The sequence below is a fragment of the Homo sapiens genome, chromosome 14, assembly GCF_000001405.40.
Source record: "Homo sapiens chromosome 14, GRCh38.p14 Primary Assembly".
NCBI classification, from domain to species: Eukaryota; Metazoa; Chordata; class Mammalia; order Primates; family Hominidae; genus Homo; species Homo sapiens.
The window spans coordinates 52,796,594-52,821,206 of NC_000014.9; the positions used below are offsets into that span (position 1 = coordinate 52,796,594).

The 24,613-nt window shown below is 40.4% G+C and overlaps 1 long non-coding RNA gene and 1 pseudogene across 2 annotated transcripts in view; one reads left to right on the plus strand and one right to left on the minus strand.

Moving 5' to 3' along the window:
* Nucleotides 1–24,613, plus strand: part of LOC105370500 (uncharacterized) — a 138,447-nt gene that overhangs the window by 4,806 nt on the left and 109,028 nt on the right. The gene's annotated exons all lie outside the window — the stretch shown is intronic.
* Nucleotides 2,081–2,497, minus strand: LOC100288978 (COP9 signalosome subunit 9 pseudogene; annotated as a pseudogene).

The following is a 24,613-nucleotide window of genomic DNA, read 5'->3' on the forward strand; positions in this document are numbered from 1 at the left end:
ACTCTGTCTCAAAAAAAAAAAAAAAAAAAAAAAAGAAAGAAAGAAAGAAAGGCAGAAAGAGAGGAAGAAAGAGGTTTAATGGACTCCTAGTTCCACATGGCTGGGCAGGCCTCACAATCATGGTGGAAGGCAAAGAAGGAGCAAAGTCGTGTCTTACATGGCAGCAGGCAAGAGGGCATGTGCAGGGGAACTCCCCTGTATAAAACCATCAGATTGGCCAGGCATGGTGGCTCATGCCTGTAATCCCAGCACTTTGGGAGGCTGAGGTGGGCAAATCACTTGAGTTCAGGAGTTCGAGACCAGCCTGGCCAACATGGAGAAACCCTGTCTCTACTAAAAATACAAAAATTAGCCAGGTGTGGTGGTGGGCGCCTGTAATCCCAGCTACTCAGGAGGCTGAGGCAGGAGAATCACTTGAACCCAGGAGGTGGAGGTTGTAGTGAGCCGAGATCGCGCCACTCTACTCCAGCATGGGCAACACAGTGAGACACCATCTCAAAAAAAAAAAAACCTATCAGATCTCATGAGACTTATTCACTATCACGAGAACAGCATGGGAAAACCCACCTCCATGATTCAGTTACCTCTCACTGGGTCCCTCCCATGACACGTGGGGATTATTATAATTCAAGGTGAGATTTGGGTGGGGACACAGAGCCAAACCATATCACTTTTTTTCTTTATAGACATTTGAACTTAAGAACTCAATAAAGCTGGCCACAGCTCACGCCTGTAATCCCAGCACTTTGAGAGGCCGAGGTGGGCGGATCACTTGAGGCCAGGAATTTGAGACCAGCCTGGCCAACATGGTGAAACTCTGTCTCTACTAAAAAATACAAAAATTAGCCAGGTGTGGTGGTACGCGCCTGTAGTCCCAGCTACTCTAGAGGCTGAGGCAGGAGAATTCACTTGAACCTGGGAGGTGGAGGTTGAAAAAAAAAAAATAACAACCTTGAAATATTACAGAAATATAGAACAAAGAGTGATCAGTCTCCTTATTTCTGCCTTCAAAGATAACCACCGTGTTAGTCCGTTTTCACACTGCTATAAAGATACTACCTGAGACTGGGTAATTTATAAACAAAAGAGGGTTTAATTGATTCAGTTCCACATGGCTGGGGAGGCCTCAGGAAACTTACAGTCACGGTGGAAGGTGAGAGGAAGCAAGGCACACCTTCACAAGGCAGGAGGGAGACAGAACAAACAGGAAACTGCCAAACACTTTCAAAACCATCAGCTCTCGTGAGAACTCCCTCACTATCACAAGAACAGCATGGGGGAAACCGCCCTCATGGTCCAATCACCTCCCACCAGGTCCCTCCCTCAACACATGGGGGTTGCAATTTGAGATGAGATTTGGGTGGGGACACAGAGCCAAACCATATCAACCACAGTTAACAGCTTGATAGATGTTTCTTCAGACTGCCTGGGTTTCATTTTCAGCCCTTCCATTTAGCTGACCACCTTGGACAAATGATTTGTCCTCACATTGTCCCAGTTTTCTCATGTCAGTGTAATAGTACAGGCTTGCAGAGTTTGATGAAGGTTTAATAAAATAATATATGTAAAGTGTTCAGCATTGTGCCTGACATATAGTACGTGCTTAATAAATGCTGGTTTGTGTACATATATTTGCATATAGTCAGAATAAGTCTGCAATAACAAACAACCTCCCAAATCTCTGTGGCTTAACACAATAAGTTTTTTTTTGTCTTACACCAATTGTTAGGGCACTTTCTCCATGTAATCACTCAGGGATAGAGGCTAATGGCAGTTCCACCCTATTCTGGTCAAAATCTGAAATACATGACATCTTTAGTGACCAGAATAGTGAAAAGAGACTGGAAAATCATGCATGGAACTTTTACTGCCTGATCCCATAATTGACATACTTCCCTTACGCTCACAATTTATTTGCCATGTTAGTAATTGTAACCCTGCCTAGCTACCAAGTTAGCAGGGAAATTCAGAGTAGAGAATATTTGGTGACTGCTTAACCTCTGTCACAATCCACATGTTTTTTCCCTAGCATCGTATAATACTGTCCAAACTCTGTTGTAATTTTTTTTTTTTTGGCATGTGACATTGCTTTCTTTTAATTGAAGTGAAGGCAAAACCTGGTCACGTTCAGAGATTAACAGCCTCATCCAGGTGGTCAAGTACAATTTTGTCTTTCTTGGTTAACCAGGTCCTAATTTCAACGTATTTCCATATGTTCTTTAAAATCACCTGAAACTGCCCTGCGCAGGCTCACACCACGGCTCTGTACCAAGGGCTTGGACCCGCCTGCAGCCAGACGGCATCTCACTAGATGTCATCATCATCAAAGAGATCTTCAAAACCATTTAAAAAGTCTACATGAACAGCCTTTTCATTAGTTGCCAAGTCCATCAAGAACCTGGTGCTGCCTCCCGCCTCGTCCAGGTCCACGTAGGGCCCGGCGCCCTTGGAAACATCTCATCCACGGCCAGCTACATCTTGGGCTGCGGCGCTCTAGGCCCACTTCCGGCCACGGGGCCGCTTCCTATTTTTCTATTTTTTAACAACTCCCCATATTAATATTCATTCACTCATTGACTGTTAAGCCCTTCTATGTATCAGGAATTGTTCTAGGTACTAGGACATATCAGTTAAGAAAACATTTGTTAATCCTTGCCTTCATGTAGTTTATTAGATTGTGAACAGATCAGAAAAAAACATGTAAAAAATTATAAAATGTTAGGTGATCAAAGTTATGGTGAAAAACAGGAAAGGGAAGAGGCAGAAGGAGTGTTGAGGTGCAGTGTTAAATAGAGTAGTCAGAGAAGACCTCTCTGAAATGTCATTTGAGTTAAATTCTGAAAGGTGTGAGGAAGTCAGCCTTGTGACTATGTCTAGAGGAAGAGCATTCCAAGAAAATAAAACTGTCAGAGTGGCTTGGTGATGCCTGAAAATGCATTTTACTATTTTTGTACACGTCTGAAATTTTCCATGAAACAAGTTAAAAAAAAAAGTAGCCCTGGTAAAAGGGAGGTTGAAGCGGGCGGATCACTTGAGGTCAGGAGTTGGAGACCAGCCTGGCCAACACGCTGAAACCTCGTCTCTACTAAAAATACAAAAAAAAAAATTAGCCGGGCGTGGTGGCGGGCGCCTGTAATCCCAGCTACTTGGGAGGCTGAGGCAGGAGAATCGCTTGAACCCAGGAGGCGGAGGTTGCAGTGAGCTGAGATTGCGCCACTGAACTCCAGCCTGGGTGGACAGAGTGAGACTCCATCTCAAAAAAAAAAAGAAAAAGAAAAAAAAAATCTTACCAGTGTACCTCCTCAGAAATAATGTTTTAACTTGTTTGTTACTCCACAACTTCCTTAACTCTGGCTCCAGACATTGCTGGTTTTTACTGCATCGTTTCTCATATGCTAATTTCATCTTTCCAATTATTTGCTAAATTCTTAATCATGTCTTATCCTTTTTTATTCCCCTCTTTGTATCATTTCCTTCAAAGTGATTGGACGTATAATAAAATATCTATTAAAAAATAGTAAATTGAGAAGTAAAACTTAGTGATGGCTTTACTAAGTATGTCAGTCTCTAATTCTTATAGCATTTTACTATGTTGAGGATGTAAAAAAGCAGATTGCAGAAAATATTATATCTACAAGCAATTTAAACGTTTTTAGCATTAGGGCCGGGAGCAGTGGCTAACGTGTGATCCCAGCACTTTGGGAGGCCAAGGCAGGTGCATCGCGAGATCAGGAGATTGAGACCATCCTGGCCAACATGGTGAAACTCGTCTCTACTTAAAAAAAAAAAATACAAAAATTAGCCAGGAGTTGTGGCATGCGCCTGTAGTCCCAGCTACTCGGGAGGCTGAGGCAGGAGAATCACTTGAACCCAGGAGGCAGAGGTTGCAGTGAGCTGAGATTGCACCACTGCACTACAGCCTGGGCGATGGAGGGAGACTCTGTCTAAAAAAAAAAAAAAAGGTTTTTAGCATTAAAGAGCTGGTACTGCCAGACAGTATGATTTACACCTGTAATCCCAGCACTTTGAGAGCCTGAGGTCTCAAGAGTTTGAGACCAGCCTGGGCAATACAGTGAGGCTCCATCTCTACAAAAAATAAAAAACAAAATTAGCCAGGCATGGTGCTACAAGCCTGTAGTCCCAGCTACTCAGGAGGCTGAGGTGGGATTGATCACACTACTGCACTCCAGCCTGAGCAACAGAGCAAACCCTGTCTCAAAAAAAAAAAAAAAAAAAGTTGGTTCAAAAATACTTTGGATATTTTTTCAAGCAATTGGACAGATGCAAGGTACAATTGGAAAATAAACCTTTCTTAGTCACATACTTATGATTCTTTCACTTAAATTTATTCTTTCGGGCCAGGCACGGTGGCTCAAACCTGTAATCTCAGCACTTTGAGAGGTCAAGGCAGGCAGATCGCATGAGGTCAGGAGTTTGAGACCAGCCTGGCCAACATGGAGAAACTGCATCTCTACTAACAATACAAAAATTAGCTAGGTGTGGTGGCGTGCGCCTGTAATTCCAGCTACTTAGGAGGCTGAGGCATGAGAATTGCTTAAACCCAGGAGGTGGAGGTGGCAGTGAGCCAGGATCATGCCACTGCACTCCAGCCTAGGTGACAGAGTGAGAGTCAGTCTCAAAAAAAAAAATAAATTATGTTTTCAGTTTATTTACTTACTGTTGCCATAGAAACAGGCTACACTGCCTAAACATTTTGAGTAAATTCTACATTTTTTGCTTAAGATGCCCAAGAGTCTCAACAATTAGATGATTGTCATTGAAGCAAAAAATGAAATCAGCCTCATTCAGTCCAAACAGTTTGCTCAACTCCCTAAACCTTATTTAACTTGATTGTGAGGTCACTTCCAGACACCACTGGGAGTTTCTCTAAAAGACCACTCACTTAGAACCACCCTGCACTGAAGGGAAGTGGTGACAAGCTGCTCAAGTAGTAAGGAAGAACTCTTGTCACAGACAAATTTGTCAGTGTTAGTCACACAACTAGAACATAATGTTTAAACGAAAATGTATGACATTGCTGGAAAGCTATGTCGGAAGAACTGCGGCCAAAGCAAAGAGAATTACAGACATAAGGAGAATTGCACTTTCATGACATGAATAACTTAGAAGACTGGTACATAAAAAAAAGCTCTGTGTTTTGTTTTCAGTTTGGTTTTCATAATTTAGTTCACCCTAATTGTAATCTATTTGATATGAGGCAAAATCTCTATTTTGAGAACAATGTTGTTACCTTAGAAAGGAAGGGTTACGGCATTATGCTGACATGCAGTTGGAAACATTTTTAGGATTTGGAATGATTTATTTTTTAGTATCAGACTATCTAAGCATAGCCTTTATCTAATCATAAAAACAGTTTTGGAATAGTGGCCATACCTCAGTGTCAAACACAGAAAACATAAGGCATAATCATAATCTAACAGTCACCCAAGTTGCTTTGAGGCCATAAACAGTAGTTTTCATCTCTGAACCTCAATTTTCTCATCTGAAAAATGGAAACACAAAATACCTTTTTTGTGTTTTGTGTAGTTTTGTTTTGTTTGTGTTGTGTTGTGTTGTTGTTGGGTTTTTCGTTTGTTTGTCTTTGTTTTGAGACAGGGTCTCGCTCTGTTACCCATCCTGGAGTACAGCTCACTGCAGCCTCGACCTCCCAGGCTCAGGCTATCCTCCACTTCAGCCTGAGATATCAAAGCTAAAACATGAAAAATGAAGAAGAGTTGTCTAAGAAACTTCTTAGTTGGCTAAGAGGGGAAAGTAGTTTAGGCAGAGGATCCAGCATTGAATTGATTTTGAAGTAGTGTCGAAAGGAAAGCCAACATGGCTACATTGTAGAGAGACAGGATCCAGATCTTGGAGGCTTTATAAAGGATTTGGCCTTTGTACTGAAGGTAGTGGAAAGCCATTTAAGTTTTTTGTTTGTTTCTTTGCTTTTTGGTTTATATATTTAAGCAGGGAAGTGACGTGATCACTTGCATTTTAAAAAGATCATTCTGGGCACTATGTACAGAATGGAGGAGATGATGGCGCACAAACACTGTAATATATATGTGGGTAAGCCAATTAGGAGGCAGCTGGAGGAAATGGATTGGGGACTGACAGAGAAGGGGGAAAATATGGACTGATTCATGAGATATTTAAGAAATAGGATCAGTAGATCGTGAGGTAAGGATGAATGAATCAAGGATGACTTTCAGATTTTTGGCTTAAGCTAATGGGTGGAGGCCATTTACTTAAACAGGGAATACTCAAGGAGGGGAAGGCTTGGGAAGGAGAATCGTGAATCATAGTTGATCATCACATGAATACACAATAAGCCAGTGAGAGTACTAAAGTCTCAGGGTGCAAATCACATATATATGTGTGCAAACACAGGTTCTCATAAAAATCATACTTACGGCTTACTCACTAAATCTTGCTTTATAAGTTCTGGATGATTCTTTCCTTTCAATAGTCTCTTCCAATCCTATTCATGGGCATTTCTGATCTTTTCAGACCAGGTCTTGGGTGTTGTAGTGGTTGGAGCTTCAAACTGCACATTTTGGAGGCTTTTCTTTTCTATAGATTTCAAAACTTCTTGTTTTTTTCTCTTATCCTTTGGCCTTGCACTTAGGATCTGATTTCATCTAAAGATCGCTTCCACAGCTTGATCTTGTTAAAGTTCTTATACTTTTTATTTTCTTTATTGGATTCTATAATAATATACTCAACTGCTTTGTATTGTCTTCCCTATGTTGTACCAACCTCCAAAACTAAATATAAAACAAGAAAACTATTTTGAAGGAAAAAGCATATTTTATCACAAGCTAATATTGCTAATGTTTATGGGGACACCTGTTTTACAGTAACAAAACAAGGTTTAACTGAATTCTTTCAGTCTTCTTAAAATGTACAGCTCAAAACAATAATACAGAAAAGTTGAAAACAGTAAGGAAGAGAATAGCAGGCAAATACTCAACAAAAAAAAGGTAGCATAGATCTATTAATATCAGAAAAAAGCAGTATTTTAAGGCAAAAGCATTACTAAAGATAAAAAAGGTCACTAGATATGATAAAATGATCCAAATCCAAGAATGAGAGGAATTAGAGACAAATCCCACAATCATAATGAGAGATGTTAACATCTATTTCTATAGTGATAGGTCAAGCAGACAAAACGATAAAATCAGCCAGGCAGATGGCTAACGCCTGTAATCCTAGTGTTTTGGGAGGCTGAGGTAGGAGGATCCTTTGAGTCCAGGAGTTCAAGACCAGCCTGGCAACACAGCCAGATCCTCCCTCTACAAAAAATAAAAAGTAAAAGTCAGCCAAGGGTGATGGCATGTGCCTGTAGTCCCAGTTACTAGGGAGGTTGAGGTAGGAGGATCACTTGAGCCCAGAAGTTCAAAGTTACAGTGAACTATGATCCTTCCACTGCACTCCAGTCTGAGTAACTGAGCGATACCCTGTCTCAAAAAAAAAAAAAAAAAAAAAAACCTTCGAACAATCAAGTTGATTGGCAACTAACCTGACTGTAATACTAACCTGTGGGCCAATATAAACTTCAAAACTCTGAAAAAAGCCAACAAAATTTAAATATTTAACAACATAGTATTTAATGTCTGATATCCAATAAGAAATTATTAGACATAGAAAAAAAGTAGCAGGGCCTGGGCGCAGTGGCTCATGCCAGTAATCCCAGCACTTTGGGAGGCCGAGGCTGGTGGATCACAAGGTTAGGAGTTTGAGGCCAGTCTGGCCAACATAGTGAAACCCCGTCTCTACTAAAAATACAAAAAAATTAGCTGGGTGTGGTGGTGGGCGCCTGTAATTCCAGCTACTTGGGAGGCTGAGGCAGGAGAATCACTTGAACCTGGGAGGTGGAGGTTGCAGTGAGCTGAGATCGCACCACTGCACTCCAGCACGGGCAACAGTGCAAGACTCTGTCTCAAAAAAAAAAAAAAAAAAGCAGCAGGCCAGGCGCGGTGGCTCATGCCTGTAATCCCAGCACTTTGGGAGGCCAAGGTGGGCGGATCACGAGGTCAGGAGTTCGAGACCAGCCTGGCCAATATGGCGAAACCTCGTCTCTACTAAAAATACAAAAATCAGCTGGGCATGGTGGCACGTGCCTGTCATCCCAGCTACTTGGGAGGCTGAGGCAGAAGAATTGCTTGAACCCCCGAGGCAGAGGTTGCAGTGAGCCCAGATCATGCCACTGTACTTTAGCCTGGTGACAGAGGGAGACTTCATCTCAAAAAAAAAAAAGAAAAAAAGCAGCAAATTGTGAACCAGAAAATTATATCTATGTAGACACAGTTTAATATTAACATTATAATACACAATGTTCAAATATATAAACATTGTATATAGATAGTATATGTCATATATAAATACACACATTTATATTTTTGTTCCAGTGCTTTTCACCTTGGCTAACTTCAATGTTAATGCCCCAAGAGAGATGATATTGTTTCAGAGTGTTACAGAAAAAAAGATACAGCAAGGTAGGTGGCTCCAAAATATATTTCATGCTAGATTGGGGAAAAGGGACATCTTCATGGGCTGTAAATTTCTCTCCACTTTTTTTTTTTAATGAGAAATCTCAAACAGGGAAGACAAATTTTAGTTTAAAAATCTCACTAGTACTACATAGCAGTCTCATCCAAATGCTGGTGAAACTTCTGAACATGATCATTCTAAAAGAGCATTTATTCTCCCCACACAAATGTCAAGTCTTCTGCTATTAACATCTATTGGGATTGGCATTCTCAATCACCCTTCCTAGTTCCTGGGATATTTCCCATCTACAATGGGAAGTATGAAGTTATTAATAAGCAGAACAGTGGTTCTCAAATGTCCTGAGACCGGCAGCATCCACATCATCTGGGAATTTATTAGAAATATAAATTATTGGATTCCATCCACACTTAAAATTTTTTGTATTTTTGGTTGAGATGGGGTTTTACCATGTTAGCCAGGATGGTCTCGATCTCCTGACCTCGTGATCCGCCTGCCTCAGCTTCCCAAAGTGCTGGGATTACAGGCGTGAGCCACTGCACCCAGCCATCCCGCACTTACTGAATCAGAAACTATAGGAGTAGATTCTAGGAGTTTGTGTTTTAACAAGCCTTTCAGGTTATTCAAAATCTTGTTCAAATTTAAGAACTACCAAATTAGAAAATATTAGTGTACTAGTGGACATTAATGTCATGGACCCGGGATCTTTCTGAGGGAATTTTTCAGGAAGATATGAAAAAGAACATAGAACAACTGCAACTAAACAAGAAGAACACCTGGATCTGCAAAAATAGGCCATCTGAGCCTCGTTGAGAATAGTCATGGGGCAGCTTTCGGTATTACAATGTGCCCTTTCTTTTCTGTCTTTCTTTCCTTCTGTCTTTCTTTTTTACCATCTGAGACATGGAGATACGCATATCCTTCTTTGTATTATTGCTACTACTATGGCAAGAAGCACAAAGGAAAGTAGAAAAGAAAAAGGAAGACCTATCTTCTTTCTTTTTAGAAAAATTGTTTAATAATTTCCAGCTGAAGTGGGTATTTGGTATTTGCTCTTGTCTTTGCATCTCTCCATTCTTCTAACCGTAATTATAAATCAGGAGTGTGAGGATGGTAGAATATGAGAATCACCTAGGGAGCTTTATCAGAATATATATCTCCCACACCCTTGCTAACTGAGATGTTGACAGAGCAGTGTGGGCGGACTAATACATATATGCTAAGAAAACTTCCTGTGATTCCGACCTACTTTTATCCTCACCTCTCCCTACACCCCACCAGTTGTCTTGGCCTTTTGTCAATGCAGGAGGAACTGTCAGGATCACCGAATTTATCTTCTATCCCCTAGTACTTACTAATATGCACCTACTACAACTTACTGCCATGCTGTGAGATGTGGGCTCTGTCTTCGAGAATTATTATTATTATTATTATTACTATTACTATTATTTTAAGACTGAGTCTCGCCCTATCGCCCAGGCTGGAGTGCAATGGCGCGATCTCGGCTCACTGCAACCTCCGCCTCCTGGGTTGAAGCGATTCTTCTGCCTCAGCCTCCCGAGTAGCTGGGATTACAGGTGCCACCATGCCCAGCTAATTTTTTGTATCTTTAGTAGAGATGAGGATTCACCATATTGGCCAGGCTGGTCTTGAACTCATTACCTTGTGATCCACCTGCCTCGGCCTCCCAAAGTGCTGGGATTACAGGCATGAGCCACTGCTCCCGGCCGGGAATTTTATATTGTAATTTACTACACAAAAGAAACAACCAGGCCGGGCGCGATAGCTCACGCCTGTAATCCCAGCACTTTGGGAGGCCGACGCGGGCAGATCACGAGGTTAGGAGATCGAGACCATTCTGGCTAACACAGTGAAACCCCGCCTCTAATAAAAATACGAAAAAATTAGCCGGGCGTGGTGGCGGGCGCCTGTAGTCCCAGCTACTCGGGAGACTGAGGCAGGAGAATGGCGTGAACCCGGGAGTCGGAGCCTGCAGTGAGCCGAGATCGCACCACTGCACTCCAGCCTGGGTGACAGAGCGAGACTTCGTCTCGATAAAAGAAAAAGAAAAAAAAAAAAAAGAAACAACCAGTGAAAAGTATTGGACTAAATGCAATCAAGTGCTATATGGTGTGATACAGACTTCAGGACTATGAAATCTGGAGAAGAACAAGATCTAGGTTTCTCACTCACTTTGACAACACTGTCTTCTCATCTTGGAATTTTTGGGGTCAGATGGCCCAAGCTGCTAAAAGGACAAATAGACATTCACATTCCATTCATGCATGTGAACAGAAAATGTAGAAGGGAAGAGTTACAGCAATTGCTTTGTGAAACACACCTGAAAATTATGGATGAAGTAGGGCCAAAATAGGCCAAGAACAAAAACAAGAAAAGCCTTTTGATGTAAAGCCACTGATCGGCCTGTGGTTATTTCGTGCTTCTCCATCCCTTTCCTGTTGCCTGATCCTCAGCCATTTTGCTTTTGGTTTATTTTTTCAGTAGTGAATAAGTAGGACAAGGATAAATTTTGGTGCAATTTATCTTGTACTCCCTAACAATAAAAGGTTTAGTGATGAGAACATTTCAAAGTATTGACTAAGCTTTATGTAGGATATACTGTGGAGTGAAAAACAAAAAACAAGGTGAGAATGGTATACATATAATATATATACTATTATATATAAATAGTATATAATATATATTATATACTATATATAATATATATTATATACTATATATTATATATACTATATATAGTATATATATTATATATACTATATAATATATACTATATATATTATATATACTATATAATATATACTATATACTATATATATTATATATAGTATAGTATATACTATACTATATATAATATATATTATATATATTTCTGTTAAAGGGGGAAAATAATATATTTAACATAAACATTTTTGGGAAGATACCCAAGAAACTGGCAGTATTAGTGGCAGTCACTGGGTGACTGACCAAATGGGCAGGGCAAAAAGGGAGTTTTCAGTGAAAACTCTTATATTTCTTGAATTTTGAACCACTGGTTTGTATGACTTAGTTTTAAAAATCAATCAAAAATTTAAAAGTATTGGCTAAGAGAAGATCTAGGAATTTCAATCCTTTCACCTAAGAGGCATCATGGTGTAACAGAAACAGCATTGTTTTGGGGGTAAAAAAAGTACCTGGTTTTGAAACCTGGTCTGCTATTTACTAGTTCCATGACCTTGGCCACATTCCTCATGTTAGCTGAATCTCATTTTGGGCATTAATAAAATGGCATAACAAAAGCTACTTTGTGAGGATTTGACATTATATAAAACTGCCTTGCGCTTACTAAATGGTAGCTGTTATTCTGTGGATTTCAATTATCCCTGCTATCCATTACTACCAATTAGGAGCTGGATGGTGATTAAAGGGAACTCAAGTTATGAATGAGGTCTCAGAGAGTCTTAATTTACAAATATCAACTAACACCTGCAGCGGAAAAGCAGCATTACAAAAATTTTTTTTATTCAGGTATTTTTTTGAGTCTTTAGGTAAGTCCCAGGGCTTTTTGAGGCTTCTTAAGAACTATCCCAAGAGATCAAGCAATCAGTGACATTTAATGATGGCCAGCTCCATAATGCAATCTCATATTGGTTCTCCTTTCTTCCTCGCTTCACTGCCCTTTCCCTATCCCTGTTTCTTGGAACTGCTCTCCCTAATAAAGTAATAGCATATAAGCCTTTTGCCTCAGACTGTGCTTTCTGGAGAAACACAAGCTGAAACTACGATCTGTCTAATCCATGAAGACAGTCAGGGACTGCATAGCAGATGCTACTGGTGTCCTTCCCATGTGCTTTTAGGCCTTAATATTAAGAGGGCTTGCTGACCAGGAGTGGTGGCTCATGCCTGCAATCCCTTTAAGCACTTTGGGAGGCTGAGGCAGGAGAATCACTTGAGCCCAGGAGTTTGAGACCCGCCTGGGCAACATGGCGAAACCCCGTCTCTACCAAAAAAAATATAAAAATTAGGCAGGCATGGTGGCACATGCCTTTAGCTACTCAGGAGGCTGAGGTGGGAGGATTGCTTGAGTCCGGAAGTTGGAAGTTGCAGTGAGCTGAGATGGTGCCCAGCATGGGTGACAGAGAGAGACCCTGTCTCAAAAAAAAAAAAAAAAAAAAGTTATGGGGGTTTGCTTTCCCCAAAATTCGCATCTTTTGCTTTATGAGAGGGCTTTCTCTGCCATCCTTGAATAATATTTTCTCCCATTCTGTGGACTGTCTTTTCATTTTCTTGATGGTGTAGTTTGTGGCACAAAAGATTTTAATTTTAATGAAGTCCAATTTAGCAAATCTATTTTCATCACATGTGCTTTTGGTGAGATTTACTCCTATGTTTCCCTTCTAGTAGTTTTAGGGTGTTTTTATTTTTATTTTTTACATTTAGGTATATGATGGACTCCTAGTAATTATTTATGTATGGTTGAGGTAGGTGTTCAATTTCAATCTTTTTGCGTGTGGATACCCAGTTGTCCCAGCAATAGTTGAAAAGACAATTTTTTTCCTCATTCAATTATTTTGGCAATCTTCTGGAAAATCAATTGACCATAAATACAAGGGTTTACTTCTGGACTCTCTATTTTATTCCATTGATTTGTATGTTTATCTATGTGCCAGTACCACTGTCTTTATTACCATAGTTTTGTAAAAGGAAAAAGAGACCATTTTTCCTCTCTACTCCACACACTCGCAGCATACTTCTGTGACCAGATGTGCGTGGGCTCTTCCCCACACCAAGGAATTCTTCAGCAGACACCAACTGGGTGTCCTAGAATTCAATTTAATTCTGATACTATCTACTTGGAGAGAGTGTCAGATCCCACAGGTGAAGGGCTCAGTGCCACAGGACTGCCCCCCACCTCCCCACTTCAGACACTACTCGAAAGTCCCAAGCTGTGACCTGTATTTCTGACCTACCAGCTACAAATCAGGGTTCCCACAATGCCCCCTCATTGTGCTCAATAATTGGCTTGGATGGCTCACAGAACTTAGGGAAACACTTTACTTGAGTTTTTTGGTTTATTATAAAGAATATTACAGGCTGGGAGCAGTGGCTCACACCTGTAATCCCAGCAATTTGGGAGGCCTAGATGGGCGGATCACTTGAGGCCCGGGGTTGGAGACCAGCCTGGCCAACATGGTGAAACACCGTCTACTAAAAATACAAAAGTTAGCAGGGAGTGGTGGCTCACGCCTGTGGCCCCAGTTGCTTGGGAGGGTGAGGCAGAATTGCTTGAATCTGGGAAGCAGAGGTTGCAGTGAGCCAAGGTCCCACCAGACTTGGTCTCAAAAATAAAATGAAATAAAATAATAAAATAAAATAAAATAATATTACAAAGGGCACAGAAGAACAGCCAGATGAAGAGTTACATAGGGCAAGATCTGGAAGTGTCTCCAGCACAAGGGTTTCTTTTTTTTTTTTTGAGACAGAGTTTCGCTCTTGTCACCCAGGCTGGAGTACAGTGGCACGATCTTGGCTCACTACAGCCTCTGCCTCCTGGGTTCAAGCGATTCTCCTGCCTTAGCCTCCCGAGAAGCTGGGATTACAGGCGCCCACCACCACGCCCAGCTAATTTTTGTATTTTTAGTAGAGACAGGGTTTCACCATGTTGGCCAGGCTCGCTCAAACTCCTGACCTCAGGTGATCCGCGCCCGCCTCGGCCTCCCAAAGTGCTGGGATTACAGGCGTGATCCACCATGCCCGGCGGAGCACAGGGGCTTCTATTCCAGTGGAGATGAGGTGGGCCACCCTATCAGCACTGTGGATGCCTTCACCAACCCAAAAATCAAATCTCATTGTCAAAGGGTTTTTATAAGGCCTGATCTCCAATACCCGCTCTAATACTCCCCCATTTCCTTGAGGTTGGTGTTTAGAGCTGAATTCCATCCTTCTAATAATCTAATCACATGGTCTTTCTGGTGGCCAGCCTCATCCTGAGGTTATCTAGGGGTTCCACTCTAAGTCATCTTATTAGCATAAACTGGAGACAAAGGCCAAAACATATACATTTCTTGTTATACAGGTTTGAAATTGGAATGTGTGGGTCCCCCAACTTTGGTCTTCTTTTTCAAGATTGTTTGGGCTATCATTTTTTAAAAATTTATGTTTTTTGGATCTTTTTAAATAAATCTTTTCTCACTCCAAATCCATCAAATATTTTTCAATATGGTTCTCTAAAAGTTTTTTAGTTTGACTGTCACATTCAGGCCTTTCATCTATTTGGAATTTATTTTAGTGCACAGTGGAAGGTCGGGGTCTAATGTCATGCTTTTAAATTGTATTAACACTTTTTTTTAAAGTCCATTCTTTCTTCCACTAATATACAAAGTAAGCCTGTTACAAAACAAGTTTCCAGTAGGTAAGGATCTGTTTGGGTTTATGATTCTCTTTGGCCATTTTTTCTTTCCCTGAATCAACACCACACTGCCTTAATTACTATAGCTTTTTTTTTTTTTTGGGATGGAATCTCACTCTGTCACCCAGGCTGGAGTACGACAGAGTGGCACAATTTCGGCTCACTGCAACCTCTGCCTCCCAGGTTCAAGCAATTCTTCCATCTCAGCCTCTTGAGTAGCTGGGACTACAGGCGTGCACCACCATGCCTGGCTAATTTTTGTATTTTTAGTAGAGACGGGGTTTCACCATATTGGCCAGGCTGGTCTCAAACTCCTGACCACATGATCTGCCTGCCTCAGCCACTATAGCTTTTTAATAAGGTAATCTGGTAAGGTAAATCTCCCTATCTTGTTCATCTTTAGAAGTGTTTCTGGATCTTATATACAAATGTTAGAGTTTGACAACTTTCACAAAAACAAAACAAAAACTTTGGATTTTGATTGAAATTACATTGAATCTGTAGATCAATTTGAGAAGAATTGGCTTTAAAAAATATATTGGCTGGGCATGGTGGCTCACGCCTGTAATCCTAGCACTTGGGAGGCCCAGGCAGATGGATCACCTGAGGTCGGAAGTTTGAGATGAGCCTGGCCAACATGGCGAAACCCTGTCTTTAGTAAAAATACAAAAATTAGCCAGGTGTGGTGGCGGGTGCCTATAATCCCAGCTACTCAGGAGGCTGAAGCAGGAGAATTGCTTGAACCCTGGGGGCGCATGTTGCAGTGAGTTGAGATCTCACTATTGTACTTCAGCCTGGGGGAAAGAGTGAAACTGTCTCAAAAAAAAAAGTATATATATAATATATATATATACACACACACATACATATATATATATACATACATACATACATACATACATACATATATATATATATATATATATACACACACACACACACACACACACATAGGCTGGGCATGGTGGCTCATGTCTGTAACTCCAGCACTTTGGGAAGCTGAGGTAGGAAGGTCACTTGAGCCCAGGAGTTCGAGACCAGCCTGGATAACATAGTGAGGCCCTGTCTCTACAAAAAATTTAAAAATTAGCGGGATGTGGTGGTGCATGCTTGTATTGTATCCCTGGCTACTAGCAGGTGCTGGGGTAGGAGGATTGCTTGAGCCTGGGAACTCAAGGCTGCAGTAAGCCATGATTGTGCCACTGCACTCTAGCCTGGGACACAGAGTGAGATCTTGCCTCAAAATAATAATAATAATGATAATAATAATAACAATAAGGATGTTAGCTCTTATAAGTATTTTGGTATATAACCTTTATCTGGTTAGAAAGGTCTTTTCTATTCCTTATTTGTGGAGTTTTTTTTTCTTGTTTTAATCCTAATGTGTTAGATTTTATCAAACATGTTGCTAAGGTTTGCATGTGTCCCCCAAAAGTTCATGTGTTGGAAACACCCCAAATTAATATGTTGATGGTATTTGGAGGTGAGGCCTTTGGGAGGTAATTAGGATTAGATGAAGTCATCAGAATGGGGCCTCCATGATGGGATTAGTGGCTTATAAGGAGTGGAAGAGAGACTTGAGCTAGAAGCATTCTCTGTCTCACCATGTGATGCCTTCTGCCATGTAAGGAAGGCCCTTGCCAGATGCCAATGCCATGTTCTTGGACTTCTCAGTCTTCAGAACTGTAAGCTAAATAAACCTTTATTCTTTATAAATTACCTGATCTGTAGTATTCAGCTATAGCAACAGAAAATTGACTAAGACACATGTTTTGTTTCTTTTTTTTTTTTTGAGATGGAGTCTTGCTCTTTTGCCCAGGCTGGAGTGCAGTGGCACTATCTCGGCTCACTGCAAGCTCTGCCTCCCAGGTTCATGCCATTCTCCTGCCTCAGCCTCCCGAGTAGCTGGGACTACAGGCACCCGCCACCGCTCCCGGCTAATTTTTTGTATTTTTAGTAGAGACGGGGTTTCACCGTGTTAGCCAGAATGGTCTCGATCTCCTGACCTCGTGATCTGCCTGCCTCAGCCTCCCAAAGTGCTGGGATTACAGGCGTGAGCCACCGCGCCCAGCCGACACATGTTTTGTTTCTAATATTAATCTTGGATTTGTGAGATATACCCATCCTGGTAATGGGTATATCTTTCTTACATGCTGTCAGCTTCCATTTTCTAACTGAACTTATTTAGGATTTTCAATATTAAGATTTTCAATGTTGCTATAATTGTTCCTCTAGTCTTAGATTGTAGTAATATATTGATATATTATGAGATACAGCTTGTCAAATTACACAAAAATAAGACAGAAACTTTGGAGATTGATTAAAATTACACTGAATCTATAGATCAATTTGAGAAGAATTGGCTTTAAAAAATATTGTTTTTCTATATCCTTGTTGATTTTATGTATTATGTAAGTATATATGTATTTAAGACAGGGTCTGACTCTGTCGCCCAGGCTGGAGTACAGTGGCATGATCATAGCTCACTGCAGCCTCAAACTCCTGGGTTCAACTGATCCTCCCACCTTGGCCTCCCAAAACACTGGGATTACAGGCGTGAGCCACCTGCCCAGCTGATTTTATCTTTTTGTCTGCTTGACCTATCACTAAGAAATAGATGTTAACATCTCTCATTATGATTGTGGGATTTGTCTCTAATTCCTCTCTTTCTTGGATTTGGATTATTTTTATCATATCTAGTGACGCTTTTATCTCTAGTAATGCTTTTGCCTTAAAATATTGCTTTTTTCTTATATTAATAGATCTATGCTACCTTTTTTTTGTTGAGTATTTGCCTGCTATTCTCTTCCTTACTGTTTTCAACTTTTCTATATTATTGTTTTGAGCTATACCTTTTAAGAAGACTGAAAGAATTCAGTTAAACCTTGTTTTGTTACTGTAAAACAGGTGTCCCACATAAACATTAGCAATAATGGCTTGTGATAAAACATGCTTTTTCCTTCAAAATAGTTTTCTTGTTTTATATTTAGTTTTGGAGGTTGGTACAACATAGGGAAGACAATAGAAAGTAATTGAGTATATTATTATAGAATCCAATAAAGAAAATAAAAAGTATAAGAATGGCCAGGCACGGTGGCTCATGCGTGTAATCCCAGCACTTTGGGAGGCTGAAGCGGGTGGATCACCTGAGGTTGGGGGTTCGAGACCAGCCTAACCAACATAGAGAAACCCCGTCTCTACTAAAAATACAAAATTAGCTGGGTGTGGTGGTGCATGCCTGTAATCCTAGCTACTCGGGAGGCTGAGGCAGGAGAATTGCTTGAATCTGAGAGAAAGAGGTTGCAGTGAGCTGAGATCGTGCCATTGCACTCCAGCCTGGGCAACAAGAGCAAAACTCTGTCTTAAAAAATAAATAAATAAAAAAGTGTAAGAACTTTAAAAAGATCAAGCTGTGGAAGTGACTTTAGATGAAATCAGATCTTTTTTTTATTTGCCTCTAAGCTTCGTTAGAGTGTGTCTAGAATAGCCTTTACTGTAGGGCTAGTTTAGCTTTTATTTTAAGCCCTGATCCTTCTGGGGTTTTTATTGATTGCCCTATGGCTCAGTGAGGTCTCTCTGGCTCAGTAGGATTTGAGCACCTCTTAGTCCTCTGTGCTCTGAGAATTGTTCAGTTTCTAGCCTCTGGCAATTGTTCTTTGCCCAGTGTGTGGAGTTTCACTCTATGAATATGCAGACTGGTTATTCAGCCAGAGACCTAAGAAGACCCCTGTGTCAATTTCGGGAGCTCTTTCTCTGTGTAGCTTCCTCCTCTCTGGTACTTTACCCTACAGATTCCAGCTCTCTCACATCCCACAGATCCAGTCTCTAGCTCCTTAATTTAATGACGCCATTGTGCTTTCTTTAGGTTTTTCTTCCCTGTCCTCTAAGCTCAAAGTTGTCCCTAGATAAGAAGCTGGGGCAATTGAAAGGTTCATCTTGTTTTCCCTCTCTTAAAGTTCAGTCTTTCCCTGCCTGTTGTCACAGTATGAGAAAACAGTTGTTTCATATCTTTGGTCCAGTTTTCTTGTTGTTTACCATAGGAGAGGATGTTCTGTACCAGTTACTTCATGGTCAGTAGTGGAGCTCAGCATCTTTACAATGAGGAAGCTTACAGCCCCTGTATATTTATTTAGGTCTTATTTGATCTCTCCATGTATGTCTTACGCAGCTAGTTTTAGATTTATTTCCACATCTTCATGCTTTTATGCCATTAGAAATTGTATCATTCTAAAATTTTATTTTCTACCTACTAATTGCCAGTATAAAGAAAAAAATTAATTGTGTATATTGATTTTTCTATCCAGTAACCTTGTTGATAGTGTATTATTTTGGATTATAAATATCATTTTAGAATAACGATAGCTTTGTTTCTTTATTTCCAATCCTTACATATTTTTTCTTACCATATTTCTTTTTTTTAATTTTTAATTCATTAATTTTATTTTTTCTTTTTTGAGACGGAGTCTTGCTCTGTTGTCCAGGCTGGAGTGCAGTGGCGCGATCTTCTCTCACTGCAAGCTCTGCCTCCCAGGTTCACACCATTCTCCTGCCTCAGCCTCCCGAGTAGCTGGGACTACAGGTGCCCGCCACCACGCCCGGCTAATTGTTTTTGTATTTTTAGTAGAGACGGGGTTTCACTGTTAGCCAGGATGGTTTCAATCTCCTGACCTCGTGATCCACCCGCCTTGGCCTCCCAAAGTGCTGGGATTACAGGCTTGAGCCACTGCGCCTGGCCTCCTTGCCCTATTTCATTGGGTAAGAGTCTATTTATTTCAGGCCAGGCACAATGGCTTACGCCTGTAATCGCAGCATTTTGGGAAGTGGAGGTGGGTGGATTGCTTGAGCTCAGGAGTTCAAGACCAGCCTAGGCCACATGGCAAACCTGTCTCTACAAAAAAACAAAACAAAAAAAAAATTAGCCAGGTGTGGTGGCCTGCTCCCGTAGTCCCCCCTACTTGGGAGATTGAGGTGGGAGGATTCCTTGAGCCTGGGAGATTGAGGCTGCAATGAGCCAAGAGTGTGCCCCTGTATTCCAACCTGGGTGACAGAGAAAGACCCTGTGTCAAAAGAAAAAAAAAATCTATTTCTTTTTAGCTAAGATTTTTTGAAGTCATAAATAGATACTGAATTTTATTAAATGCTTTTTTCTGTATTTATTGAGATACTTGTATGATTTTTCACTTCAATATGTTAATGTAGTGAATTACTGTTTTTTTAAAAAAGTGAAGCCAATCTGTGCTTCTAAAATAAACCCAACTTGGTTACATCATATTTTCCTTTTTTTATACATTGCTTGATTTGATTTGCTATTATTTTGCTTACGATTTTTATATATATGTTTGCGAATGAGATTGGTGGATAATTATCTTTTCTCCTTTTCTTGTAAGTTTTGCACTAACATGCTATGCTATCCCTTGAAACAATTAGGAATTATTTATTTCTTGAATATTTGATAAAATTTGCTTAGTAAGCCATCCAGGATTTCTATTTGTTCAATTTCTTTTTCCCTTCTTTATTGAATTCTTTTGAATTGATTGAGGTTTCTGGAATAATCATTACATGTTTTCCCCTTTGGATTTTATAAGCACACTGTTTCTGTTCTTTAGGGGTTACTAGAAGTTTCAACGTGCATGTTAACTTATCAAAGTCTGTAGCTAAGCAATACTTTACCTTTGGTCTAAGAACCTTAGAACACTTCAACTCCATTTACCTTCCTCCTGATCTATATTATTGTTGCAGTGTATTTTAATTGTCTTTTCAAATTTTACACCATAAATCATTGTTTTTATTTTATATAATCAACATTCACCTATTTGCTACCTCCTTTCTGCATCTCGGACTATCTAGACTGTTCCTTCTGTTAATAATCTCTGTGAGTCCTTTTCTGGGGTCTTGTTTCTGCTGGTTCTCCCTCATGCACTTTGTTTCTTGTGTGGTTGGTTTTTGTTTTGTTTTTAACTGTAAGCTGTTCGTTATCCATAGAAAATTATTTATGGGGGATTTTGTGAGGCCTCAGATGAAGGTGGATCCCTTCAAAGAGTATTTATATTTACTTCTACCAGGTGTTTAGAGGTCTACTAACCCAGGACCACTTTAACGCGGTAGCTGCAGGCTTTGAGAATCATCAGCTGATGTGAATTTGGGCAGAACACCCAGGTGAGGCTCAGGTTTTAGTTACAATTTCTTAGGAACGTGTTCTTATTCTACCTAAGCCTCTAAGCACCAAGACATCTTCTCTTGCAATCTGCTCTGAGTTCCCACTTTCGCATAGATTTTGGCCTGTGATTTTACCCTCCGGTGAGTTATTTTATGTTTTAAAGCATATTTTTAATGTCTATTAAGTATTTTTAGTTATCAGTGGGAGATGCTGTCTGTATAACAATATACCGTTGCTGAGTGTAACATTGTCTTCTAAGAGTTTTTTTAAAAATTGTGGTAAAATATACAAAACATAGAATTTATCATTTTAACCATGTTAAAGCGTGCACTTCAGTAGCCTTAAGTACATTCACTATGTTGTGCAACCATCATCACCATTCTCCTGTAGAGTTTTCATCATTCCCCCAACTGCAACTCTATACCCAGTAAGCAATAGCTCCCCATTTTCTCCAAAACCCAGGCCCCTGGCACCATTCTACTTGCTGTCTCTATGAGTTTGACTACGGGTACCACGTATGAGTGGAATCATACAGTATTTCTCCTTTTGTGACTGACTTCTTTCTTTTAGCATAATGTCTTCAAGTTTCACTGTGGCATGTGTCTTTCTAAGAGTTTGAAAGTGTTTTTTTTTCATAGTTATAGCCTTAGGTTCCCTGGGATTAATCTGTATTTAAGTGTGAGGTGCAGATCTAAATGTATCCCAATATGGACATGCCATTGTCCCGATAGAATGTATTGATTAATCCATCTTTTCCACACTGATCTGTAATGCCGTCTGTCATATATCGGATAGCTATGTAAATATAAACCTGTTTCTCTATCTGCTTGGCCCTGTTGGTCTATTATCTATTTTTTTTATATCTATCATCTTTTTTTTTTTTTTTTTTTTTTGAGACAGAGTCTCACTCTGTCGCCCAGGCTGGAGTGCAGTGGCACGATCTCGGATCACTGCAAGCTCTGCCTCCCCAGTTCATGCCATTCTCCTGCCTCAGCCTCCTGAGTAGCTGGGACTACAGGCACCCACCACCACACCTGGCTAATTTTTTTTTTTTTTTTTTGTATTTTTAGTAGAGATGGGGTTTCTCCGTGTTAGCCAGGATGGTCTTGATCTCCTGACCTCGTGATCTGCCTGCCTCGGCCTCCCAAAGTGCTGGGATTACAGGCGTGAGCCACCGCGCCCGGCCAAGGTCAAATTTCTGATAGGCAAAACTGCAGGAATGGCCAAGCTTCAGCACACTCTGAATGCACTTGTCAACCTGCATCCTTCCCGAAAACACTTCATCCCAGAGAGTTTGTCTTTTTACTTTCTCAGTATGTGAAGTGGGATGGTTTAAAAGAAAAAGGTAAAAACGTTCAGTCTGATCAATACTAACCATTTAATACAAACTAGTGACACACAAAAAAATGAAAATTGCTCATTTGGATAGATGTATGCTGGCTTAGCAGAAGGAAATGACGGTTTCTTTGAATTCAGGTTTAGATTATTTTCCCTCATAGAGAATGGAAAATGTATCACAAAAAAATATAAAAATCTGAATAAGGTGAATGACTTCACTGCTTACCTTAAATGCAGGTGGTGACTTACAAAGCTGGCTTATTTAGGAGATCCAGCTAACACCTGAAAGGCTATACTATACATTTCTGTACAAGATTGCTGTAATTAATATTTATCATAGAAACTAGGAGTTGAGACTCTTCACTTATATGTCATCGAAATTATACTAGTCATGGTAAAAATCATTATTAGACATCTTTCTTTCCTAACAGTTCTTTGACAAATATGTCTCCTAGATTGTAAAAGAGACTGACAAAAAATCAGAGAACCTTTAGCCCAGCAAATGACATAAATGACTTACCTTCCCACCAGATAATACTTGTCAAGAAATATACCAAAATTAGGCTGAAATTGCTTTACTCTATCACCTTTACTGCAATAAATCTGTGTATATCTTGTTAGGGATTAGCCTATCATAACTCACAAAGATTAAAATGTTATTGCCATTTATATATTTTTTTTTTTCCGAGACGAAGTCTCGCTCTGTTGCCCAGGCTAGAGTGCAGTGGCGCGATCTCGGCTCACTGCAAGCTCCGCCTCCCGGGTTCACGCCATTCTCCTGCCTCAGCCTCCCGAGTAGCTGGGACTACAGGCACCCGCCACCACGCCCGGCTATTTATTTATTTATTTATTTATTTGTATTTTTAATAGAGATGGGGTTTCACCATGTTAGCCAGGATGGTCTTGATATACTAACCTCGTGATCCGCCCGCCTCGGCCTCCCAAAGTGCTGGGATTACAGGCGTGAGCCATCGCACCTGGCCATATCTATTTCTTTATTTGAATCTGGGTTCTCAAAATCTTGTGACCTGAAAAAGAAAAAAGAAATTGCCTGGATGCTAAATCTGATATTTGGTATTGGCTCCATGTATTTCAGTGTCTGAATCTGATACACCCTATGACCAAACAAGACAAATGGGAAACTCTTCCTCCTTGATGTTAAATTGAAAATCATTTTAAATATTAAAGCAAAACATATTGAACAGATGCAAAATTGGCATGAATTTTAATTGTTATCCTGCAGCAGGTTGCTTTAGGCAGCTAACGTTAGGTTTCTGAAACTTTTCCCTTAAGTTCCTAGAGAAGCAGGAGAGTGTGGATGAGAGGCTACCTCGGTGTGTCATTACAACAAATTAGGTAATATACCATCATTTGCTGTTGTTGTTGTAGTTTTCCTACCAGAATGGAAAAGCACATGAAGTTTCATTGATTCCACAGCTGTGTATTTGTACCTATGTATGTGCAAGGCTCTGTGCTAATAAGCTCTGTGAATGTAATGGTAAATAACTAAAATATAGTTGGGCACATTGGCTCATGCCTGTAATCCCAGCACTTTGGGAGGCTGAGGCTGGTGGATCACCTGAGGCTGGTGGATCACCTGAGGTCAGGAGTTCAAGGCCAGCCTGGCCAACATGGTGAAACCCCATCTCTACTAAAAATACAAAAATAGCCAGTTGTGGTGGTGCACACCTATAGTCCTAGCTACTTGGGAGGCTGAGGCAGGAGCATTGCTTGAACCCAGGAGGTGGAGGTTGCAGTGAGCTGAGATCACGCCACTGCACTGCAGCCTGGGTGACAGAGCAAGACTCCATCTCAAAAACAAAACAAGACAAACAACAAAAAACTAAAATACATCAAAGTACCCAGAAGTAGATACTTTATCGCCATCTTAAGTAAAAACAAAAACTATCTCAAATTTTTTTGTGAAAATAAATAGGATGGCCTGTGTAGCTTGGGACATGGTAGGTGCCCAATGAATGAGAGTTTCAAAGATGGCCTAGCCATATGAGATGTGTAAATCTAGATTAAACATTGATTTTAAAAAATAAGACTCACGCATATATGTAATCCCAGCACTTTGGGAGGCCAAGGCAGGAGGATCACTTGAGTGTAGGAGTTTGAGACCAGCCTGGGCAACATGGTGAAACCCCATCTCTACAAAAATACAAAAATTAGCCAGGCATGGTGGAACACACCTG